Below are 20,608 nucleotides of genomic sequence, written 5' to 3' on the forward strand. Positions count from 1 at the left end.
CCCCCGCAACCCCTACACCAGTCAGTGGAAAAACTGTCTTCCAGAAAACTGGTCCCTTGTGCCAGAAAGGCTGGGGACCACTGATATGGATGGCCCCTTATGGCATGTTGAAATATAAGTGGTATAGCATCAACTCTTCTGATTACAGAAAATTGTCTCTGTGTATTTAAAGAAAACACATTAGTCCTCAGTTAACCATTTTATAACATATTAGTATAACTATATTATATATAACTATATATTTGTGTAGTGCTAAATAATTTGGCAAACAGCAGTTTACAAGCTTTTGAATTCATCATTAATTTAATCTTGTCTATAGTTCTGATATATGGTTGTATTATTACCAAGTTACACATGAGGAAATTCATGTGCAAAGAGGTTTTTTTTTTTTTTTTTTAATTTGTTCAAAGACAAATAGCTAGTAAGTGGGACTATTCAAATGAGTGTCTTGGTCTTGGGACTCAGTAAGTCCAAAATTCTTTTTCATTCTGCTGCACTCATAGAAAATGAATGTACAGGGGTAAAAACTCACGCATACTCAGGTACCAAGGGATGCTTTCCTTTGGATTTGAGTTTTTGGGATAGCATCTTCCCATCACAGTTGAGTGAGGTTCTTTTTTAAATTTTGCATTGAGTGTGGATGCTTTGGCAATGACACTTCATTCCTGATGGTTTAATGCAATTAGCAACATGCCTATCTTGTAGTTTGTTTTGTTTTTTTTTTTGCCTTTATTAATAAGCAATCACTCTGGCTGAGAGAAAATCCTTTTTCAGGAAGGATCTTCAGGGAACTATAGCTGTTCCTGTAATTCACATAAGATTCATTTTAGGTCACTGGCCACAGGTGCATGTCATTCTTAAGGCATCATATCCTTAGAGCGTTGCTCTTCCTGTTAAGTATAGTAATAGTCAAAGGATAGGCATTAAGAAAGTACTTCAACCATTAGATTCATTTATGAATGCTAAGATATTCAGTATCTCAGTGACACCTGAAGTAGTTTCCAGCATTTCTGTTCTGTGAGGTGAAGGAAGGGTGAGTTATTGCTTCAGTGCTACTAAACACTTAAAAATCCCTGTAAAAGCTGGTAGAAGGATTGGTAGCTTTGTGACTAACTCCTCTGGACTGAGGAAGATGATGTTGCCTTTCCTGGTTCTGACTTGACATCTTGTTGCTCTGCTTTGTGGTGGGGTAGTATTGCTTTCATTTCACCCACAATTTCCTCTTTTCGGGTGGAGGAAGCTGACATGTGACCCCAGGAAGGAAAGGGAAGTAAAGAGAAAATTAAGAAAAGTAAAGTCTCACATCAGCAGTAACAATTGTTTTATTGTATGTGATTGTTCTTTATTAAAAATCTGGGAAACTGAAAGGTTCATAATAACTGTCTTGGCATAATTGATACTGTTGAATGCATACATGTTCTCCATTCATCTTTAAGAGATGTTATGAGACTTTGATTTAAAAGGGGGAGATCTTCATTTTTCTGGCCTTTTCCTGGTTCCTTTCTCATAATAGTCCAGGTAGATTGAAACACCACATTTCACAAGGCTTCAAATAAATTATTTTGATGTTATACATACTCTTAATATTAAGTTTGAAATCCTAATAGCATTTTACCTATAATATTATACTTTAATGGAGATTTAAAAAATTTAGAGAAACATATTGAGTAGGAAATAAAAGTGAAATCAAAGTATTGTTACTGAATCACTAACTTTAGAAGTTATCTGATGTGTTGCCTTCATTTCTGAGATTGAAACTATGATCTAAAGAGATTTTCAGTTCATGACATGTGTTGTATGTGTGTGTTGGGAGGTCTCCAAGACCACCCACAGGTTCACTGATTTGCTAGGGGGACTTAAAGGACTCAATACGTAGTTGTATTCTGTGCTGTGATTTATTACAGTGAAAAGACACCGAGCAAAATCAGTAGAGGGAGAAGGTGTGTGGGACAAAGTCTGGGGAAAACCCATCACAAGCTTCTGAAGTCCTCTCTCAGTGGAGGCACACAAGGTGTGCTTAATACCCTAGCGAGGAGTTGTGACAACGTATGAAATGTTCTCAACCAGGGAAACTCGTTAGAGACTTAGTGATTGGGGTTTATATTAGCTGATCACATAGGCACCCTCTACCTAGCATGTGCTAGAATTTCAGATTCCCCGCAGGAAAGCAGATGTTTGGCATAATTATATTGTTTCTGTAGTTTAGGTACAGTGAACAACTCATCAGTTAAGGAGGGTGGGAACCCTCCTAACATCCAAGTTTCTAGGCACCAGCCAAGGGCAAGCCTTGGAAGCAGGCCTTTTTAAGGATAGACATCTTCTCCCACTGATGTGTTAGAAAGAAAGAAAAGGATAGACAGGCCTGCTGTGTCAACTCTTTGCTGTGTATGTGTACGTGTACATGTGTGCACTTGTGCATATGCATGCATGCAACATTTAGCATAGAGTGTGCTTTTCATTAAACGTTAGCTGTTTTTACTTATTTATTATGGGGATTCTTCATTGGTTACTACTACTGTTACTTTTAATTGTGCTCTTCCGCATTCCTATGAGGTAGCTTGGCCGGTATTTTGATCCCCATTTGATAGACAGGAAGACTAAGGCAAAGAGAAGCTTCAACATGTATTTTTATATATATATATATGATATATATATATGATATATATATGATATATATATATGATATATATATGTTATATATATTATATATATGTTATATATGTTAGATATATATGTTATATATATTAGATATATATATGTTATATATATTAGAGATATATATATATGTTATATATATTATATATAAAATTTCCCAAGGCTCCATCATTCAAGTTTTGACATTTCTAAATACTCTCGCTTAATTGACAGAGCAGGTATCTGAACCTAATGTTACGTTCTTTTTGCAAGCCCACAAAAAAAAAGTGAGGATTTTTTTTTTCCTTCTTAGCATTTTTAGAGGGTACAGCTAAGATAGAACGTAGGATTAAATGTTTAAGTTAATATCACTTTGGACCAATTCACAACCTTTTATGCTTAACTGTTTTAGTATTCAAGAAGTACTTTACTTTCTATGTAATTTTTGAGCTTTTGGGCACGGTGTCATTTAATATAGCACAGTCCTGTTGGGGCAAAAAATGATCCTTAAAGCATTAAACATTGTTCATCTTAATCCAACTAAACTGATTAATATCAGTACTAATTTTGGTGACTGTAAATTAGTACCCTACCTCTACCCCTGCACATCACCTTTTGCAGTCAAACAAGCCAGAGGCATAGTAAGATTTCAGTCATTATGCTGAGTTCCTCCTTGGTCTTATATGAACTTTGAGATTTCTTAATATCCCAAAGTGAATTTAACTTTTCATGTAATATATGTATCAAAGTAGTTGGAACATTATCTTTGTTTTCTTTTCTTTTTTTTTTTTTTTTTTGAGACAGAGTCTTGTTCTGTCCCCAGGCTGGAGTGCAGTGGCACGATCTCAGCTCACTGCAAGCTCTGCCTCCCAGGTTCACACCATTCTCCTGTCTCAGCCTCCCAAGTAGCTGGGACTACAGGCACCTGTCACCACACCTGGCTAATTTTTGTATTTTTAGGAGAGACGGGGTTTCACCATGTTAGCCAGGATGGTCTTGATCTCCTGACCTTGTGATCTGCCTGTCTTGGCCTCCCAAAGTGCTGGGATTACAGGCGTGAGCCACTGTGCCTGGCCTGTTTCTTTTTTTTTTTTTTTTTTAAGAGTTGAAGTCTTGCTCTGTTGCCTAGGCACAATCATGGCTCAGTACAGCCTCAAACTCCTGGGCTCGAGCAGTCCTTCTGCCACAGCCTCCTGAGTAGCTGGGACTATAGGTGTGCACCATCATGCCCTGCTAATTGTTGGGGGGTTTTTTTGTTTAATTTTTGTTTGTTTGTTTTTTGCAGAGATGAGGTCTGTCTGTGTTGCTCAGGCTGGTCTCGAACATTTGACCTCAAGAGATCCTCTCACCTTAGCCTCCCAAATTGCTGGAATTATAGGCATGAGCCACCACTCCTGGAGATTATCTTTGTTTCTTATAGATTGTACCTGCAAGTAAATTGAACCAAACCACAATTTAAAGAATGCTGTCCCACCAGTACCAGAGACAATTTTATACTCAGTAAATTCTGCTGCATGCCACTCTACTGGCTAAAATAGTTTGCAAAGTGTTTTTACTCATATTGCACTCATCTGATCCTTATAATAACCTGTGATGATGGGTATTCTGATTTTACAGAAGAGGAAGTTGAGACTGACTTATCCAAGGCTCTCAACCTTCTAAGTTGGGGATCAGGCTTACTGTGTAAAAAATGAAAATGTTAAGCTCTTGAAACATTTTGTACTAAATATCAGTGAAGTATTTTGGAGAAAGCAAATTCTCCAACAGTAAGTGAAAATTACCATTTCTACCAGGCTATTGCTAAAATATTTTTGGTTTCTTGTGTTGGATAGTATACTTATTTATAAGCCTGAATAAGATTATGCTCCTTATGTTGCTTCTCAAATAAAAATAAAGATTTAGAATTTTTAAAAAGCAGATCTGAGAAGAATCTTATGCATTCTACCAGAAGAAAATATGATGGAATTTGTTATTGTATCTTGGCCTAAAGGAAAGTCTTTCCAAACATAATAAAAAACGCAGAAGCCATAAAAGAAAAGTTTGATTAATATAACTACATAAAAATAACCACTATAAACAAAGTCAACACAATTGATACACCGGGAAGAGTATTGCTAGTCATGTAACATAAAGCTAATTTTTCTTAACAAATCAAGAAGAAAAAGTTAATACAAGTAGGAGTAAGGAAATGCATATGCATTTCATATCAAAGGAAATGCAAATTACTCTTAACCATATAAAAACACTCAATTTCACTCATAAAATATAAGCATATAAAATGCAAAATTTCATCTGTTAGATTAGCAAAGCGAAAAGGTTTCAGCACTCATGGTGTTGGAAAAGATGTGAGTAGATCGGCTTCTTGGGAGGCTTAAGGCAGAGGGATCTCTTGAGGCTGGGAGTTTGAGGCCATAGGTCACTATGATTATGCCTGTGAATAGCCACTGCACTCCCTCCTGGGCAACACTGTGAGACCTCATCTCTAAAAAAAGTGAAAAAGAGGTGTGAGGAAATGGCACTCCCATGCATTGCTGGCGGGACTATAAATTGATATAGGCTTCATGACAGAGGGGCAATTTGGTGTTCCTCTCAAAAAGCATGTATCCTTTGACCCAGGGGTTCTGATTCTAGCAATTTATCCTATGGGTACATCTGCAGACATGTAAAATGATATATATGCAAGATATTCATTACAGCATTCTTTCAATAGTCTCTGGAGATTTAAACTCACCTTGTTGCCTGTATTTAGAACTTTTTATTCTTAATATAATTTTATCTTCTCTCTTTTTTTTCTTAATCAGTTTTACTAGAGACTGATTTATTGGTTATTTCAAGGTACCATGTAAAAAATTGAATCAGCTAGGGTTGTTAGTTGCAATCGACAGAAATCTACTCTGGCAAATTTAATCAGAAAAGGAATTTATTGAAAAAGAATATTAGCCCAAAATTACCACCTTGGTAGGTAGAAAACTAGGCTTGGAAAATGGCATCCAGGATCAAAGAGCAAAGTCTGTGTAATACAAATTCTTTGAAATTTTTTGAAGCATCTTTATGACCTAATGTATCATCAATATTTTAAATTGTTTGCCTTAAGAGATATGTATTCTATTCATTGGGGGTTTATATATACATAAACATAAACACACACACACACACACACACGACCACATTAATTTTATTGTTCAATTTTTCTGTATTTTTGCCACCTTTTGGTCTGCCCGATCCATTTTGTTTTGATTTTTGTTTTTGAAACAGAGTCTCACTCTCTCACCCAGGCTGGAGTACAGTGGCATGATCTCGACTCACTGCAACTTCTGCCTCCTGGGTTCAAGTGATTGTCCTGCCTCAGCCTCTCGGGTAGCTGGGATTACAGGTGCCCACCACCACACCCAGCTAATTTTTTTGTATTTTTAGTAGAGATGGGGTTTCACCACGTTGACCAGGCTGGTTTTGAACTCCTGGCCTCAAGTGATCTGCCTGCCTTGGCCTCACGAAGTGCTTGGATTACAGGTGTGTGCCTGGCCTGATCTATCTGTTTTTAATTGCAGTGTGTTAAAAAATTTCTTACATTAATTTTTGATTAATTTCTCCATATAGCCTTATTAATTTTTGCTGTGTTGTAGGTTCATACAGGTTTTATTGTTACATCTTCTTGATGGGTTGCTCTTGTTTTAAAAAAAGATAGTAAGGAAGACTTTATTCAAGGAGGGCCACTATAATGGGGTTTGTAAAAGGGGAGAGAGTGGGCTCAACTCTAGATGGGTTGCCTTTTTAATCATTATGTATTTCCTTCTTGATTCCTGTTAAAGCTTTTCTCCCTGCTTCGCCATGCACTAGCTCTGTAACCTTGGGCTAAGTCATTTAATCCTTCAGTTTTCTTATTGTAAAATGGGCATAATACCTACCTTATCAAGTGGGTGAAGGTGATGGAATGTTTGCCTTCCAAACCTAGGGTCTAACAATTCCGTAGTGGTTGGAAAAGGTTTATGTTACTGTTTTCTATATTTGCCTTAGGTCCAGTGTTTCTATCTAAATATCTTCTACCTTACTCAGTATATTAATTAAGAGTCTTTCTAAAATAGTTGATTCCTCTGTGAGGGAAATGCAGGGAAAAAAATAAGATAGTTGAGACAACTGAAAAAGGACAAAAGGCAACTTTTTGGGGAGACTATTTTCTATAACAAGCATTTATCAACCTCAGTGGGATGTAGATTTATTAGTAAGTCTTAAAAATTAATATATATTTAGACCACCAAATATACATTGAGGGTATAAAGAAGTGTCAGAAGGAGACAGAAGTGTATACTTTCCTCTACCTTTTTGATAGTATTTAAGACTTAGCGTTTATTCTGTTCTTAGCTTTGATTTTTATCATCTATTTATATAACCCACATGTATTGTGCCTCCTGTGGGTCTTCCTAGAAAGTCATCTTAAAAAGTATTTTCTTTTCCCTTTCTTTCAGACTTTATATTCAGAGCACCAATCAAATTAAGCAAGCCTGGGGAACTTCGTGAGGAATATGAAAGCTTGAGAAAGGTATAGTATTATCATGTCATTCATTTTCTTAAAGTAGATTGAAATAATGACATTAAAGAATGCTTAGTGGGAGTTTTGACCAGGTTTTAAAAAATTTATAATGCAGAGCCTTTCTTCACACTGCCTTATACCAGCCTAGTTAGATTTGGAGCTATAATGGCAGCAGAGCAAACCTTAACCCAAGATTCCCTTTTTAGTTGTCTTTTCAAAGATGAAGACGTAGTTCACAGAGCCTGTCACATGCCAGCTGCAGTAACTGGCCACCAGAGAAGTATTCTTGGTACTTTTAACAGGTGCCCTTGCTAATAATTGCTTGTATTATTTTTCTTTATCTCACAAGTTTCTTCTAATTACATGTAGCTGGTGTTATCCATTATTGCTCACTCCATTAAATACTCCAAAAGAACTGTCTTGTAGGTCAGTAAGGAGATAGTGAAATAATTTCCTAGTTAGAAAACAATTACCATTGGGAAAGCTTTTATCTGTGTCCATATCATCTTATTTATGATGTTTTCAAACTAATTGTCTGGGAATCACCTAGAGAATTAAGACTTAAAAAAGGCTGGTAATAAGAAGTATGTTGCTAGATAGTGTCATTCTTTCCCAGCCCTCTCCCTGCACCATCATTCCTCACTCAGCTTTATAATTGATTAATCATTCTACATATGGGCATCTAATATTTTATAAATGTAAGTGATCCACTTAATCTGGATCAAGCATCATCATAAGATAGAGGTGAAACAATAATGCTATTGTCACAGGATCCTTGGGGTGTCGCTTTGCCAGCTGGAAACCTCTGTGGCTGGTGGTGCCTTTGCCCAAGTTTTGCTTGGGCCTGCTGGGCTCATTCTGCCCACTTATCCTGGCAGGCTGTGCTCAGCTCGCACTACCAGCCTGGATCTCACACCTGCTAAAGGCGAGCCAGGTGCAGAGGGGAGGGGTGTGTGAGCAAGGGAGCATGGGGTCCAGCTGCTGTGCCTTGCTGTGGCTGGGTGGGGAGCTCCAGGTGCTGGCATGGGCACTGGCTCCTGTGAGGCTGTGGCTGGACCAGGACTACTGCAAGTGGCTTCCACTGCTGGCACTGGGGAACGTGGTAGTGACTGGAAGCTTGGAGATGCCAGGAACTGCATAGCCCCAAAGAGGGTGTCACAGCCCTGGCTTGGGAGCACCTCAGTCTGGGCTCCCTGAAGGGCTGCAGCTCTTCTCTCTTTTCTTGTTGCCCACAACATGGTGAGTGAGGGACGTGTTTCAGCCGTTTGTGTTATAGCTGTTTCTGTCCTGCCATTCGGCGGGTCCCAAGTTCTTGTCCTGTGTCCAGAAAGAAAGAGGTACGTGGACAACTGGAGGGTGAGTACAGCGAAGAGAAGCTTTATTGAGTGACAGTACAGCTCTCAAGAGACTGAAGTGGGTAGCTGCTTTCCACAGGCAGGTCGTCCGGACATCTACTCAGCTCTCAGCTGAGAGGAGATCCACAGTGGGTAGCTCCCCTACACAGGCAGGTCATCCCCATGTCTGCCGGAGTCTGGCTGAGTCCAGGGCTTTTATGGGCTTCAGAGGGGAGGAAGTGCATACTGATTGGTCCATGGGCAGGCCTGGAAAAAGCACTGTAAGTTCTCACTCCAGTCTGCAGAACTGGCAGCCCAGCCCCTGGCTTCAGGTCATCCCCAGCTTGAAGGTGGATCTGCCCCTTTCTGCCCAGGAGCCTGTCTACTTCCTGTCACCATCAACCTGCCCTGTACAGTACCCACAGTGCCCGGGCTGTGCCATGGGGCACCTGCAGGCCTGTGCCAAGCTGCTCTCAGCACCCCCACAGCCTTCCTCCTGTCCTCTGGGGTGCCCAAAGTCTGGAGGGGGCCGAGGTGGCAGGGCGCTGCCATGTCAGCATCACCATGAGTCTGCTCTCACCCAGCTGGGTAGTGACAGTGCCTCCCTTGGTCACAACTTTCCTTTGAAATCGGCATGGGTGCTGGGAGTGGGAAGAGGCCAGGCAGTGGGAGCAGGCACTTCCGAGCCTGTGAGAGTGGGGGATGGAGGTAGGGGCGCATCCTGGGCCCCCAAGAGCACAGGGATGCCTGTAGCCATGGCTGGGTGGCTACAGCTACACCCAGCATGGGAGGGATCCCACCTCTTCAACTTGTAAGAGGGCATGGCTCCTACCTGTTCCTGGCTCCAGCTGACACCTGCCGGCTCCGTGGAGCGTACAGCCCCAGCTGTGCCTTTCCCACTGCAGCTGGCATCTTCACAGTGCCCACTCCAGGCAGGCTGCTGCTGCCATCACTGTTGTGGTATATTTCACTGAATGAAAAATCAGTGTTTAACAAGGTCACATTAAAGAGAAAAGATCATAGGAAACTGTGGCTAGTTACTATATATTCTCTGATCTTTGCTTGTAAATGAGGGTGTCAGATGTTGACCTGAATCTTCGTGCTTCATTTATATTGGCATTGTGAGGTTTTTGTCTCTTTTAAAACTACTTACAAAGTTTTTTTTTCTGTTGAAAAATTATTTTCAGGGACCACATAAAAAGAACAGGTTCTTAAATAAAATTTCAGAATGTACACATACAATATTTACTTCTAATAGATCTTTTTAGACATTTTGAAAATGTGGAAATTTTGAAGCTATCAGCTGGAAGGTAATCTTAGAGAAAACAAGGAGTAGGAGGTAGAAAAAGGAGGTGAAGCAAAAGACATAGTAAGAGTAGGGTTTCTTTTTTTTTTGAAACGGAGTCTTGCTCTGTTGCCCAGGCTGGAGTGCAGCGGTGCAGTCTTGGCTCACCACAACCTCTGCCTCCTAGGTTCAAGTGATTCTCCTGCCTCAGCCTCCCAAGTAGCTGGGACTACAGGCGTGTGCCACCATGCCCAGCTAAATTTTGTATTTGTGAGTAGAGAGGGGGTTTCATTATGTTGGCCAGGCTGGTCTCGAACTCCTGACTTCGTGATTCACCTGCCTCTGCCTCCCAAAGTGCTGGGATTACAGGTGTGAGCCACCATGCCTGGCAAGAGTAGGGGTTTTTATAAACCTTGGGAGAGAGAAGGAAACCTTGAGGAACTGTCATTTGTGTTCCTGTTAGAGGAGAGGTATGGGACAGTGGTTTTAAAAGGGGCTGATGCCATAATGTTTTTGAGTGAAGCTAGGATAATCTCATTGTGTATAAACTGGATTGGATTTGAGAAACACTCATCTATATCATTTGGCTTAAATAAAAGTTAGCTACCGGTCCATCTCACCCACCCCAAGTACCCAAGTTATCCTACATCCATTGTACAACCTGGAAAATGGAAGTCTAAGCCATAACATTAAAAGGCACTAGTATGGCATATCCATACAATGGCATACTATTCAGCAATAAAAAGGAGTGAACCACTGATACATGCTACCACATGGGTGAACCTCAAAAAGATGGTAAGTGAAAGAAGCCAGATCTAAGAGATTATATGTTGTGATTCCATTTATAGAAAATGGCCAGAATAGACAAATAGTAGTGACAGATAGTAGATTAGTGGTCGATTGGGATAGGGTATGGGAACAGGGATTAGCAGTAAATGGGAATGAAGGATTTTATTGAAGTGATATAGTGATTTCTAAAACAGATCTCAGTAGATCTTCAAAAGTTTCTACTGAGCAAAGGAAGATAAGTGGAAATTAATTCTACACAACTCATTATTACTAATTTGATGTGTGATATGCTACTAATATACTTTTCACTTAGTATACTCTATTACTTTAAGTGACAGTAAAAACCTCTATAAAGGCTGTAAAAAGTTAACAAGAATTTTTATTCCTCTAATTCTAGTTCTTTTAAAAGGTATTACTTTATTTAAAAATCCTAGATTCTATTACCTGTGGGAGATTTGGGAACACACCAGGCTGGGGTAAGGGACTACTGTAGAACAGTACTGAACCAAGACTGAGGGGCCTACTAAGGACAGGGAGCTGTGTTCTTAACATCCTTTCTAGCCAGAGGCTTTTGAGTTGGTATGCTTACTGAGGTCACTATGAGTTTCTAAATTTTATCATTCTGTGAATAAGCTTATATTTCTAAATATATTTAGATTTTTTTCTTTCTGCATGTGTTGTAGTTAGTTGTCTTTTTTTAACATAAGAAAAATAACGCAAAAATGATTAGAGCAAAATATGAAAGTCCCTTTTTACCTTTCTTCCCACTGTCCTTCCCAGAAGTACCTAGAATCAATAGTTTAGTGTTTATCTTAGACCCCTTATATGCTTACTTATGCATGCAGACACATACATAAACACTTTAGTCTTCTGTATAAATGAGATCATGATATATATATATTCATTGGTTAATGAAATATTTATTGTGCCCCTAGTATGTGCTAGGCACTGGGGATATCACAGACTCCTCTAGCTACTAGGGAGGCTGGAAAGCATAGTGTTTTAGCTAGGAACATTAACTTTCTAAGTAAAATCAGGGTTCTCTTAGTAAGGAAGGAGAAAATGGATATTGGATTGGCAACTAGCTGCCTCTGTCTCCTGGGACAACAATGGCAATAAGACTAGTTAGGACACTTTGAGAGTAAGCAATATGTTGGGTTTAATTGGGCTTGGGATTTTGTCAGAAGTGTGATGGAGAGATGCAGTAGATGCACTTGGAGGTGTATACAAGGAAGTTGTTACAGTTTTGGATGATGGATCTAGGTTAAGGGGAAAATTGAGGACATGAAGGATGTGATAGTGAAAGAGTTAGTTGTAGGGTCAATGGATCGGAAACTTTGATGGTGAAAATTGTAAAAGTAGGATTGCTAGCATATATAAATAAAGCTGGAAAGCTAGGAAGTGGTGGTCTCAATATAAAAGGCTTAAATGTGAGCCTTGGGAGATAGTTTAGTTATGGATATCACAAAGTTTAGGGTATGACCATGGAGTAGATAGCTGAAATAGGATGGAGAAAAAGATGTATTTAAGGAGGAGGTGAAGGAACTGAGAGAGTATGCCAATATTGAGACCTTCAGGAATGATCACTGGAGTAGTTGGAGAGAAATTAAAATTTAAGTGCCAAGTTTTTCTGTGAATGAAGGAGAGTGACAGAGAGGGGTCATGAGTGTTATAGTCTAAGGCTAAATACTTCAGAGAAGCTAGGTTGTTTGTTTGAAGAGAGATATTCTCTCTCTCTTACCCAGCCTGGAGTGCAGTGTTGGAATCGTAGCTCATTGCACTCTTGGATCCTGGGCTCTTAAGTGATCCACTTGCCTCAGCTTCCTGAGTAGCTGAAAGTATAGGAGCACACCACCATGACTGGATACTTGAAAAGTTTTTATTTCTGTAGAGATGAGGGTCTTGCTGTGTTGTCCAGGCTGGTCTTGAACTGCTGGGCTCAAACAATCCTCCTGCCTCTTCCTCCCAAAGTGTCAGGATAACAGGTGTGAGCCACCACGCTTGGCCGGAAGGAAGGATTTTTGAGAAATAATACAATCTATTTGGTGACTTCCTTTTTCCACTGAACAGCATATTTTTTTGGGTGGGGGGGTGGTGTGTATGTTTTTAATGTAGATACTCTTTTTTTTTTTTTTTTTTGAGACAGGGTCTCACTCTATCACCCAGGCCGGAGTGCAGTAGTGTGATCTCAGCTCACTGTAGCCTTTGTCTCCTGGGCTCAAGTGATCCTCCCACCTTAGCCTCCCAAGTAGCTGAGATTACAGGCACATGCCACCATGCCCAGTGTGTTGCCCAGGCTGGACTTGAACCTCTGGGCTCAAGCAATCCTCCCTCCTGGGCCTCCTAAAGTGTTGGGATTACAGGCCCAGCCCGTTTCCCCCAGTTTTAAAGGAATGCTGTGCTGAGCACCCACAAACATATGTGGGCAAATACAATCCCTTCAGTTAAATTCTTAGAAGTGAAAGTGGGAAATGGTAAGAGGCTGGGCACATTGGCTCATGGCCATAATCCCAACACTTTGGGAGACTGAGGCAGGAGGATCTCTTGAGCCCAGGAGTTTGAGACCAGCCTGAGCAATATAGTGAGACCCTATCTCTACAAAAAATAAATTAGTTGGACATGGTGGCACATGCCTGTAGTCCTAGCTACTCGGGAGGCTGAGGCAGGAGGATTGCTTGAGCCCAGGAGGTCGAGACTGAAGTGAGCTGTGATTGCATCACTGCACTCCATCCTGGGTGACAGAGTAAGACTCTTGTCTCAAAAAAAATAAAAAATAAAGCAGACATGGTTTTGTTGGATGTTAACAAATTGCCTTTTAAAAAGACTTTTTCAACTTACTCTCTCGACAACAGTATAGAGTCCATTTTCCTCAAATCCTTGCCAAACCTTTTTCATTGTTTTGATATTTTACTATCTGCTAGATTAAAATATCTCATTGTTTTAATTTACATTTCCTTGATTACTACAGAGCAGTAGCATTTATGTTAATCGACCATTTGTATGTTTTCCGTGATTTCTTGTTTATAAGACTTAAATCTGAAAACCAGTTCTATCTTTTGGGTATTTGTGATCTTGATTGCTAATGGCATGCTTTTTTGTTGTTGTTTTTCCATTCTATTATATATTTATTCTATTAAAAGTTTTCTGACATTTTATGGTGTTTTTAAATGGAAGGAGAGTATTAACACATGCTCAGTCCTTCATCTGGATATACATCTTAATGGAAAGGATTTTGTAGTATTGGTTCTTGTTATGTAAGGATGTGCAGTTAATGCATGTTGAAATGAAAAAATTCTAGGAAGATATTACTTCAGTATTGATATCTTTTAATGTTTTCAGTTTATATAAGACTTAGCCATCTTTGTCTTTTGAAATAGATTTATCTCTAAAAAATGTTATTTATTGGTTGAATTAAGCTTATTATATACACCATTATTTCTTCTGCTTTGCTTGTTAGATGCTTAACTTTGACTTCATGGTTCAATAATAGTTGCTTTGTTTTGATTTGGGAAACACATAATCCAGGATGGTCTTGTCTTCTTTGAATCATTGGACTCTGAAAGACTGAAGGTGGGGGAAAAGATTGAAGGTGGGGGAAAAGCAGCCTTGCTTCTAGACTATTCATTTTCCTGGTTTTTACATTGGGAAAGGTGAACTGCTTTCAGTTATTCTGTGGAGCATATGAGTGGCTTAGGCTTTCTTTGGATTGGTTTCTCGACCTATCCATTTTCTTTTTTTCTTCCTCCGTTCTGGTTCTCTTTTTAAAAAAGTAAATGAGGTCTTGCTATGTTGTCCAGGCTGGAATGCGTTGGCTATTCACAGGTGTACACTACAGACTGAAACTCTTGGCCTCAAGTAATCTTCCTGCCTCAGCTGGCTGAGTAGGTGGGGCTACAGGCACGTACCACCTTCCCTGGCCTTCTGGTTCATTTTCAAGGGGTATTTTCTCCCCATTGTGGGCTGAATTATTCAAGTAGTAAGCATGCAGTTTTTTAGTCCTTAGCCAGAGAACAGACTAGTCAGATATAGTCAATGGGTTACTGAAGTGATTAGTAGCTCTATAAGGCAGTCATTAACTTGTGAAGGGATATTTTAAAGGTAAGTAAACTTTTAGGACCTAATTATCTTCGAAATTACATTTTAAAGTTTCCTTTTATTAACTTACTGCCTTGAACTGTAAAATATTAATATAAAGTACTTTATTAAAATGAACATTGCACTTAAATCCATTTGGCTGTGTAGTGTATCATGAACTGAATGTTGAGCTGGCCTTTTTCTTATTTTTATTTATTTATTTAAAAAGTAGCTTTATTTATCTAGAAAGTTTAAAATATGTTGTTATACCACAGAACAAGCAGATTATTTTTAAAAGCTTTTTCTTATTCGATTATAAATCTTTCAAGATAGATCTGTTTGTTTTAGTCTCTTTAACTCCACTGTGTCTAATATAATATCTTGCACATAGCTCTTCACCAAGTACTTATCTAATTGAATTTCTAATCATCTAGTTTCACAGCCCCTTCTCTTATTAGAAATGACTTGTGAAGGATGTATATATGGCTGGTTCATGATACAGCTAGATATATTTTATGATTTCTGGGGATTTGGCTGGGCACAGTGGCTCACATCCCAGCACTTTCGGAGGCTGAGGTAGAAGGATCATTTGAACCCAGGAGTTCGAGACCAGCCTGGGCAATATAGTGTGTTGTGGGAAGTCAGGGACCCCAAACGGAGGGACCGGCTGAAGCCATGGCAGAAGAACATGGATTGTGAAGATTTTACGGACATTTATTAGTTCCCCAAATTAATACTTTTATAATTTCTTATGCCTGTCTTTACTGCAATCTCTAAACATAAGTTTCGAAGATTTCATGGACACTTATCACTTCCCCAGTCAATACCCTTGTGATTTCCCATGCCTGTCTTTACTTTAATCTCTTAATCCTGTCAGCCGAGGAGGATGTATGTCGCCTCAGGACCATGTAATAATTGCATTAACTGCACAAGTTGTAGAGCATGTGTGTTTAAACAATATGAAATCTGGGCACCCTAAAAAAAGAACAAGATAACAGCAATGTTTAGGAAACGAGAGATAACCTTAAACTCTGACCACTGGTGAGCCGGGTGGAACAGAGTCATATTTCTCTTCTTTCAAAAGCAAATGGGAAAAATATCGCTGAATTCTTTTTCTCAGCACGGAACATCCCTGAGAAAGAGAATACCCACCTGGGAGTGGGTCTCTGAACTGGCCCCCCTGGGCGTGGTCATCTCTTATAGTCGAGACTGCAGAGATGCAATAGACTTCAGTCTCCCATAGCGCTCCCAGGCTTATTAGGAAGAGGAAATTCCCACCTAATAAATTTTGATCAGACCGGTTGATCTCAAAACCCTGTCTCCTGATAAGATGTTATCAATGACAGTGGTACCCGAAACTTCATTAGCAATTTTAATTTCGCCTCGGTCCTGTGGTCCTATAATCTCACCCTGCCTCCACTTGCCTTGTGATATTCTATTACCCTGTTAAGTACTTGATGTCTGTCACCCACACCTATTCACACACTCCCTCCCCTTTTGAAAATCTCTAATAAAAACTTGCTGGTTTTTGCGGCTTGGGCATCACGGAACCTACTGACATGTGATGTTTCCCCTGGATGCCCATCTTTAAAATTTCTCTCTTTTGTACTCTGTCCCTTTATTTCTCAAGCTGGCCGATGCTTAAGGAAAATGGAAAAGAACCTACATGAATATCGGGACAGATTCCCTGATAGTAGTGAGACCTCGTCACTACAAAAAATTTTTTAAAAAATTAGCCGGGCATGGTCGTGCATGCTTGTGGTTTCAGCTACTCAGGAGGCTGAGCTGGGGAGATTGCTTGAGCCTGGAAGGTTGAGGCTGCAGTGAGTCGTGATTGCATCCCTGCCCTCCCACCTTAGCAACAGAGCAAGACCCCGTCTCAAAAAAAGAAAAAAAAAAAAAGATTTCCAGTGGTTTTTTTTTTTTGCTACACTATTGCTATTTTTTCTTCTTTCTTTTGAAATGTTATATAATTGAAGAAATGCCCACTTTTAGCATGTGCTAGCATATCTCTTTCTAGAACCAGAAAATAAGTATAGAATCTCATAGTATATCTTTAAGATATACAGGTAACAGGTGTGGTATTAAGGAGAAGGAAAAATTCTCAATAGAATGTTTAAATTTTAACTACATGAGGGAAGAACAGTTAATTTATAGGATGTTCAGAATCCAAGAACATTAGATATGGTTGTTGTCTCCTTTTGCTATTTATAACTACCCAGATGTGGAGAAACAGTTTTATCAAATAATGTGCTTTTCAAAGAAAAGAACACACTTGGAGCATTCAAAACACGATCAAATTCAATTAGAATAGCAGGTTACTCAGGTTATTTCTGCAGTGTGCTGTTTTTCCTCGTCTTATTGTTTAGGGTCAGGATCAGTAGTTATAAGGTTACTATATTAGTATAATTATTTTTATGGTTTAAGTATTAATAAAATCACTTAACTACTACTTGGAAGCCAAATTAAGGAATTTTCCAGAAGCTGTTACAACTGTTGTCTCTAGTATAAAATAAAATATTTTGTTAAAATATGTAATGAGTGAAGCTTTTAATAAATTAGAATAGCTTTATTTTTTTCTGCTTATGAACATAAGCAGAATTGTGCATTTCTGTTAATTGGGAAAAAACCTTCAGGTTATCAAAAAGTTTTAAAGCAGAAAGGGAAAATCGCCAGTAATCCTGCCACTTAATAAACATGTTTAAATGTTTATCAAAAATTTAAGCTTAAGACTTTTTAAAAAATAGATTTTAGATCACATTATGCATGCCACTTTTACTGCCCTTTTAAAATTTAGCATCTCGTATGAAGTTTTCCATATTAATATAGATCTATGTCAACATTTTTAATGGCTATATAGAATTATAGAAAATATTGTAATATATCACATATATGCCAATATTTTCCCTAAATCCAAAACCATTCAAGAGTCAGAAATAACTTTTAAAAATATAATATGTAAAAAAGATTCCATAAGATAAACTGATTTTTAAAATACCCATCTCTAGCCAAATTTGTTTAAAAACTCACAAGTAATCTGCTTTCAGTGATGATTGTTCCTCTAAAATTGCAAACTTGGTTATATTTTTCCAGATTCAAATCAGGGTTTAAGGTCTTATTTGCTGTTTACATTTGAGAGTAAACTTTTTTGTTTATTGCAGACTTTTTAAAAAATGCAGGTGTTCAACAAATCATAATACAGATGATGTAGATATTTTACCCTAAGCTGAGAAACAGTAGTGTGATTAAGAGCTGACTACTTGAGTTCAAATCCTGGCTCTGCCACTTAATAGTGTGTGAATTTGGGCGAGCTATTTGAGTTCTCCATGTCTTAGTTTTCTGGTCTGTAAAATAGACATCATAGTACCAAGCTTATAGGGTTATTGTAAAATAGTGCCTGGTCCATAGTAAACTGTATATAAGTATTATTAATATTTAGTATTTGGAATTCTAAAAAATCTAGCACAAAGTAATCCCTTCTGTTGCTGCCATTTATTTGCTGCCTTTGGGTAAGAAATGGAAAACTCAAAAAGTCATAGTTGGAGGCTGGCAAGTTACTGATATGAAACACAAATTAATTCTCAATTTTCTTGAATTTGGACAGTGAAGGTGTGTCTTTGTCTTTTTACAATTGATTACTTAGAGCTCTTTCTGCTTCCCATAAGCAAGTGTCCCCCTCTTCATTCAGCCTTTCAGCTTGGCAGCTAAACATGTGACTGATAATATATCTGCCGGTTCAATTTATATGTAAACTTGGATGCCTGCAATTCATTTTATATGCCTATCTACAAAATGCATGTAATAATTTAAAACCTGTATTGAAGTAATTTTAAATATCTTATTACATAAGAAGAAAATTGGTAAAATATTATTTTTGCATAAATATTTAGATACGCTTAATTCTAAATCTAACATTTAATTTGGAAGTGGTCTAGAATTTAAAGTGAAGAGAACATAGTATCATAAATGTGATTTCTTTAAAATTAGGTAAGAATCATAAGAGCAAGTCAGATGCTTTGGTGCTATTTATGTGGTTTATCAAGTAAAAGTTATGGCTTTTATGCACGTTAGCCTTGTATGCAAGAGATCGTTTGCTGTGAGTTCAGGATGCTGTAAACAGGAGCTAAGAGTAGTCCTTTCACCCCAAATACATTGTTTTTGTGGACAGCATCAGCAATAGTCACCAGTCAGACCCTATAGAAGCCGTAGCTGTTAGTGCCAAGTGAGAGTCCAGGAAACAGAGGATATAAAGCATCAATTGCTCTAGATACCAAAGTAAACTGAAATGTTCTGACACCAGTTTGATTAACTAGTTTATGTTCTGAATCAGTGATTCTGAAGCAGTGGTCTCCAACTTTTTTTACCAGCTTGTATTATATTCCTTTCATGACCCCCATATGAATTTAAAGTATTTTGATAGCTCTATTAAAGAAAAAGCTCTAGATATCAACAAAAAATGTATTCAGCCTACTTATTAATATGGTGATACTTAAGCTAGGCACAGTGGTGCACACCTATAATCCCGGCTACTCGGGAGGCTGATGTGGGAGGATCACTGGAGCCTTGGCAACATAGTGAGACTCTGTCTCTAAAAAGCAAAGAGGATGATATTTAATAGAGACAACCTTATGGACTATAAGTGTCTGATTTGTTAGATTTTTAAAAATACGTTAAAAATTAACTTAAAGATTCCCATTATTAGCTTGTGAAACCCCCCTTAGAATGTAGGGTCCCAGTTTGAGAACCGTTGGCCCAGAGATAACCAGAACATGAGTAAAATGTTCATAACTCATAATTTACTGTTTCAGGTGCATCATTTTATTTTATAAGGAAAAACCTGTTACCTCTTGTCAGGAGAAAGATTAATTAAACACCGTGAGACTGTATGGTTCTACAGCGCTCCCAAATTATTTCTTTAGTATACTATTATTGGATGGTGGTCCATTTAACCAGTTGAGATAAGAAAATCAGAAAATTATGGATATATAAGCTCTAGTCTTTAAAGTACCATTGAGAAGCACTGCCCCCTATAAGCCCTATACCCATGGCACTGTCTGGTTGGTTACCTTTTACAGTGGAATTGAGAGTACAGTAGTTCATCACAAAGCATGGAACAGTCACCACAATAGGTATGGTTTGTGTCAAAAAATATCTTTGTTGGAAGGACCTTTTATAAAAATCAGTTAGTCCAGGCTGGGCGTGGTGTCTCACGCTTGTAATTCCAGCACTTTGGGAGGCCGAGGCAAGCGGATCACCTGAGGTCAGGAGTTTGAGACCAGACTGGCCAACATGGCAAAACCTCGTCTTTAAAAATACAAAAATTAGCCAGGCGCGATGGTGCACAGCTGTAATCCCAGCTACTTGGGAGGCTGAGGCACAAGACTGGCTTGAACCCGAGAGGTGGAGGTTGCAGTGAGCCAAGATCATGCCATTGTGCTCCAGCCTGGGCAACAGAGTGAGATTCTGTCTCAAAAGAAAATCAGTCCAATCTTACTTCAACAGCATTCTGCTTGTGAGCAACTTTGTCATTTTTGGTCAAGACTATAGTCTCAGCACTAAAAAATTGCCTAACATATAGAATCTGATGCACTGTAAATATTTGCGGAACTGAGCTTATTGAACACAGACCCTGTATCTGGAACTCAAGTAGGGGAGTGGAAATCAAGGATGCATAGGTTGCTGATTAAAAAAAGCTCACAGTATCTGGGGGAAAAGGGATTTGAAAACAAGTAATTGAACACAAGTAATTTTTTTTGGGGGGGGGTGGGGACGGAGTCTTGCTCTGTCGCCCAGGCTGGAGTGCATTGGGGCAATCTCGGCTCACCGCAAGCTCCGCCTCCCGGGTTCACACCATTCTCCTGCCTCAGCCTCCTGAGTAGCTGGGACTACAGGCGCCCACCACCATGCCAGGCTAATTTTCTTTTTTTTTTTTTGAGATAGAGTCTTGCTTTGTCACCCAGGCTG

General features: G+C 38.9%; 1 protein-coding gene and 1 long non-coding RNA gene across 5 annotated transcripts in view; one reads left to right on the forward strand and one right to left on the reverse strand.

Moving 5' to 3' along the window:
* The window catches only part of RNF169 (ring finger protein 169), a 93,565-nt gene that overhangs the window by 33,680 nt on the left and 39,277 nt on the right, over positions 1 to 20,608 (forward strand). For all 3 annotated transcript variants that reach the window (XM_011544889.4, NM_001098638.2, XM_047426707.1), the window contains exon 2: positions 7,098 to 7,171. In XM_011544889.4, the coding sequence (XP_011543191.1) occupies positions 7,098 to 7,171 (74 nt within the window). The remainder of the gene's footprint in view (positions 1 to 7,097; positions 7,172 to 20,608) is intronic.
* Positions 8,519 to 12,442, reverse strand: LOC124902715 (uncharacterized). 2 transcript variants are annotated; one of them, XR_007062779.1, is made up of 3 exons: positions 12,312 to 12,442; positions 9,329 to 9,466; positions 8,519 to 8,763 (listed from the first exon to the last, which is right to left on the reverse strand). It is a non-coding gene; the product is annotated as an uncharacterized LOC124902715 (long non-coding RNA). The 2 variants fall into 2 exon arrangements; XR_007062778.1 differs by lacking the exon at positions 12,312 to 12,442 and having other exon boundaries at positions 9,329 to 10,112.

The sequence above is a fragment of the Homo sapiens genome, chromosome 11, assembly GCF_000001405.40.
Source record: "Homo sapiens chromosome 11, GRCh38.p14 Primary Assembly".
NCBI lineage: Eukaryota > Metazoa > Chordata > Mammalia > Primates > Hominidae > Homo > Homo sapiens.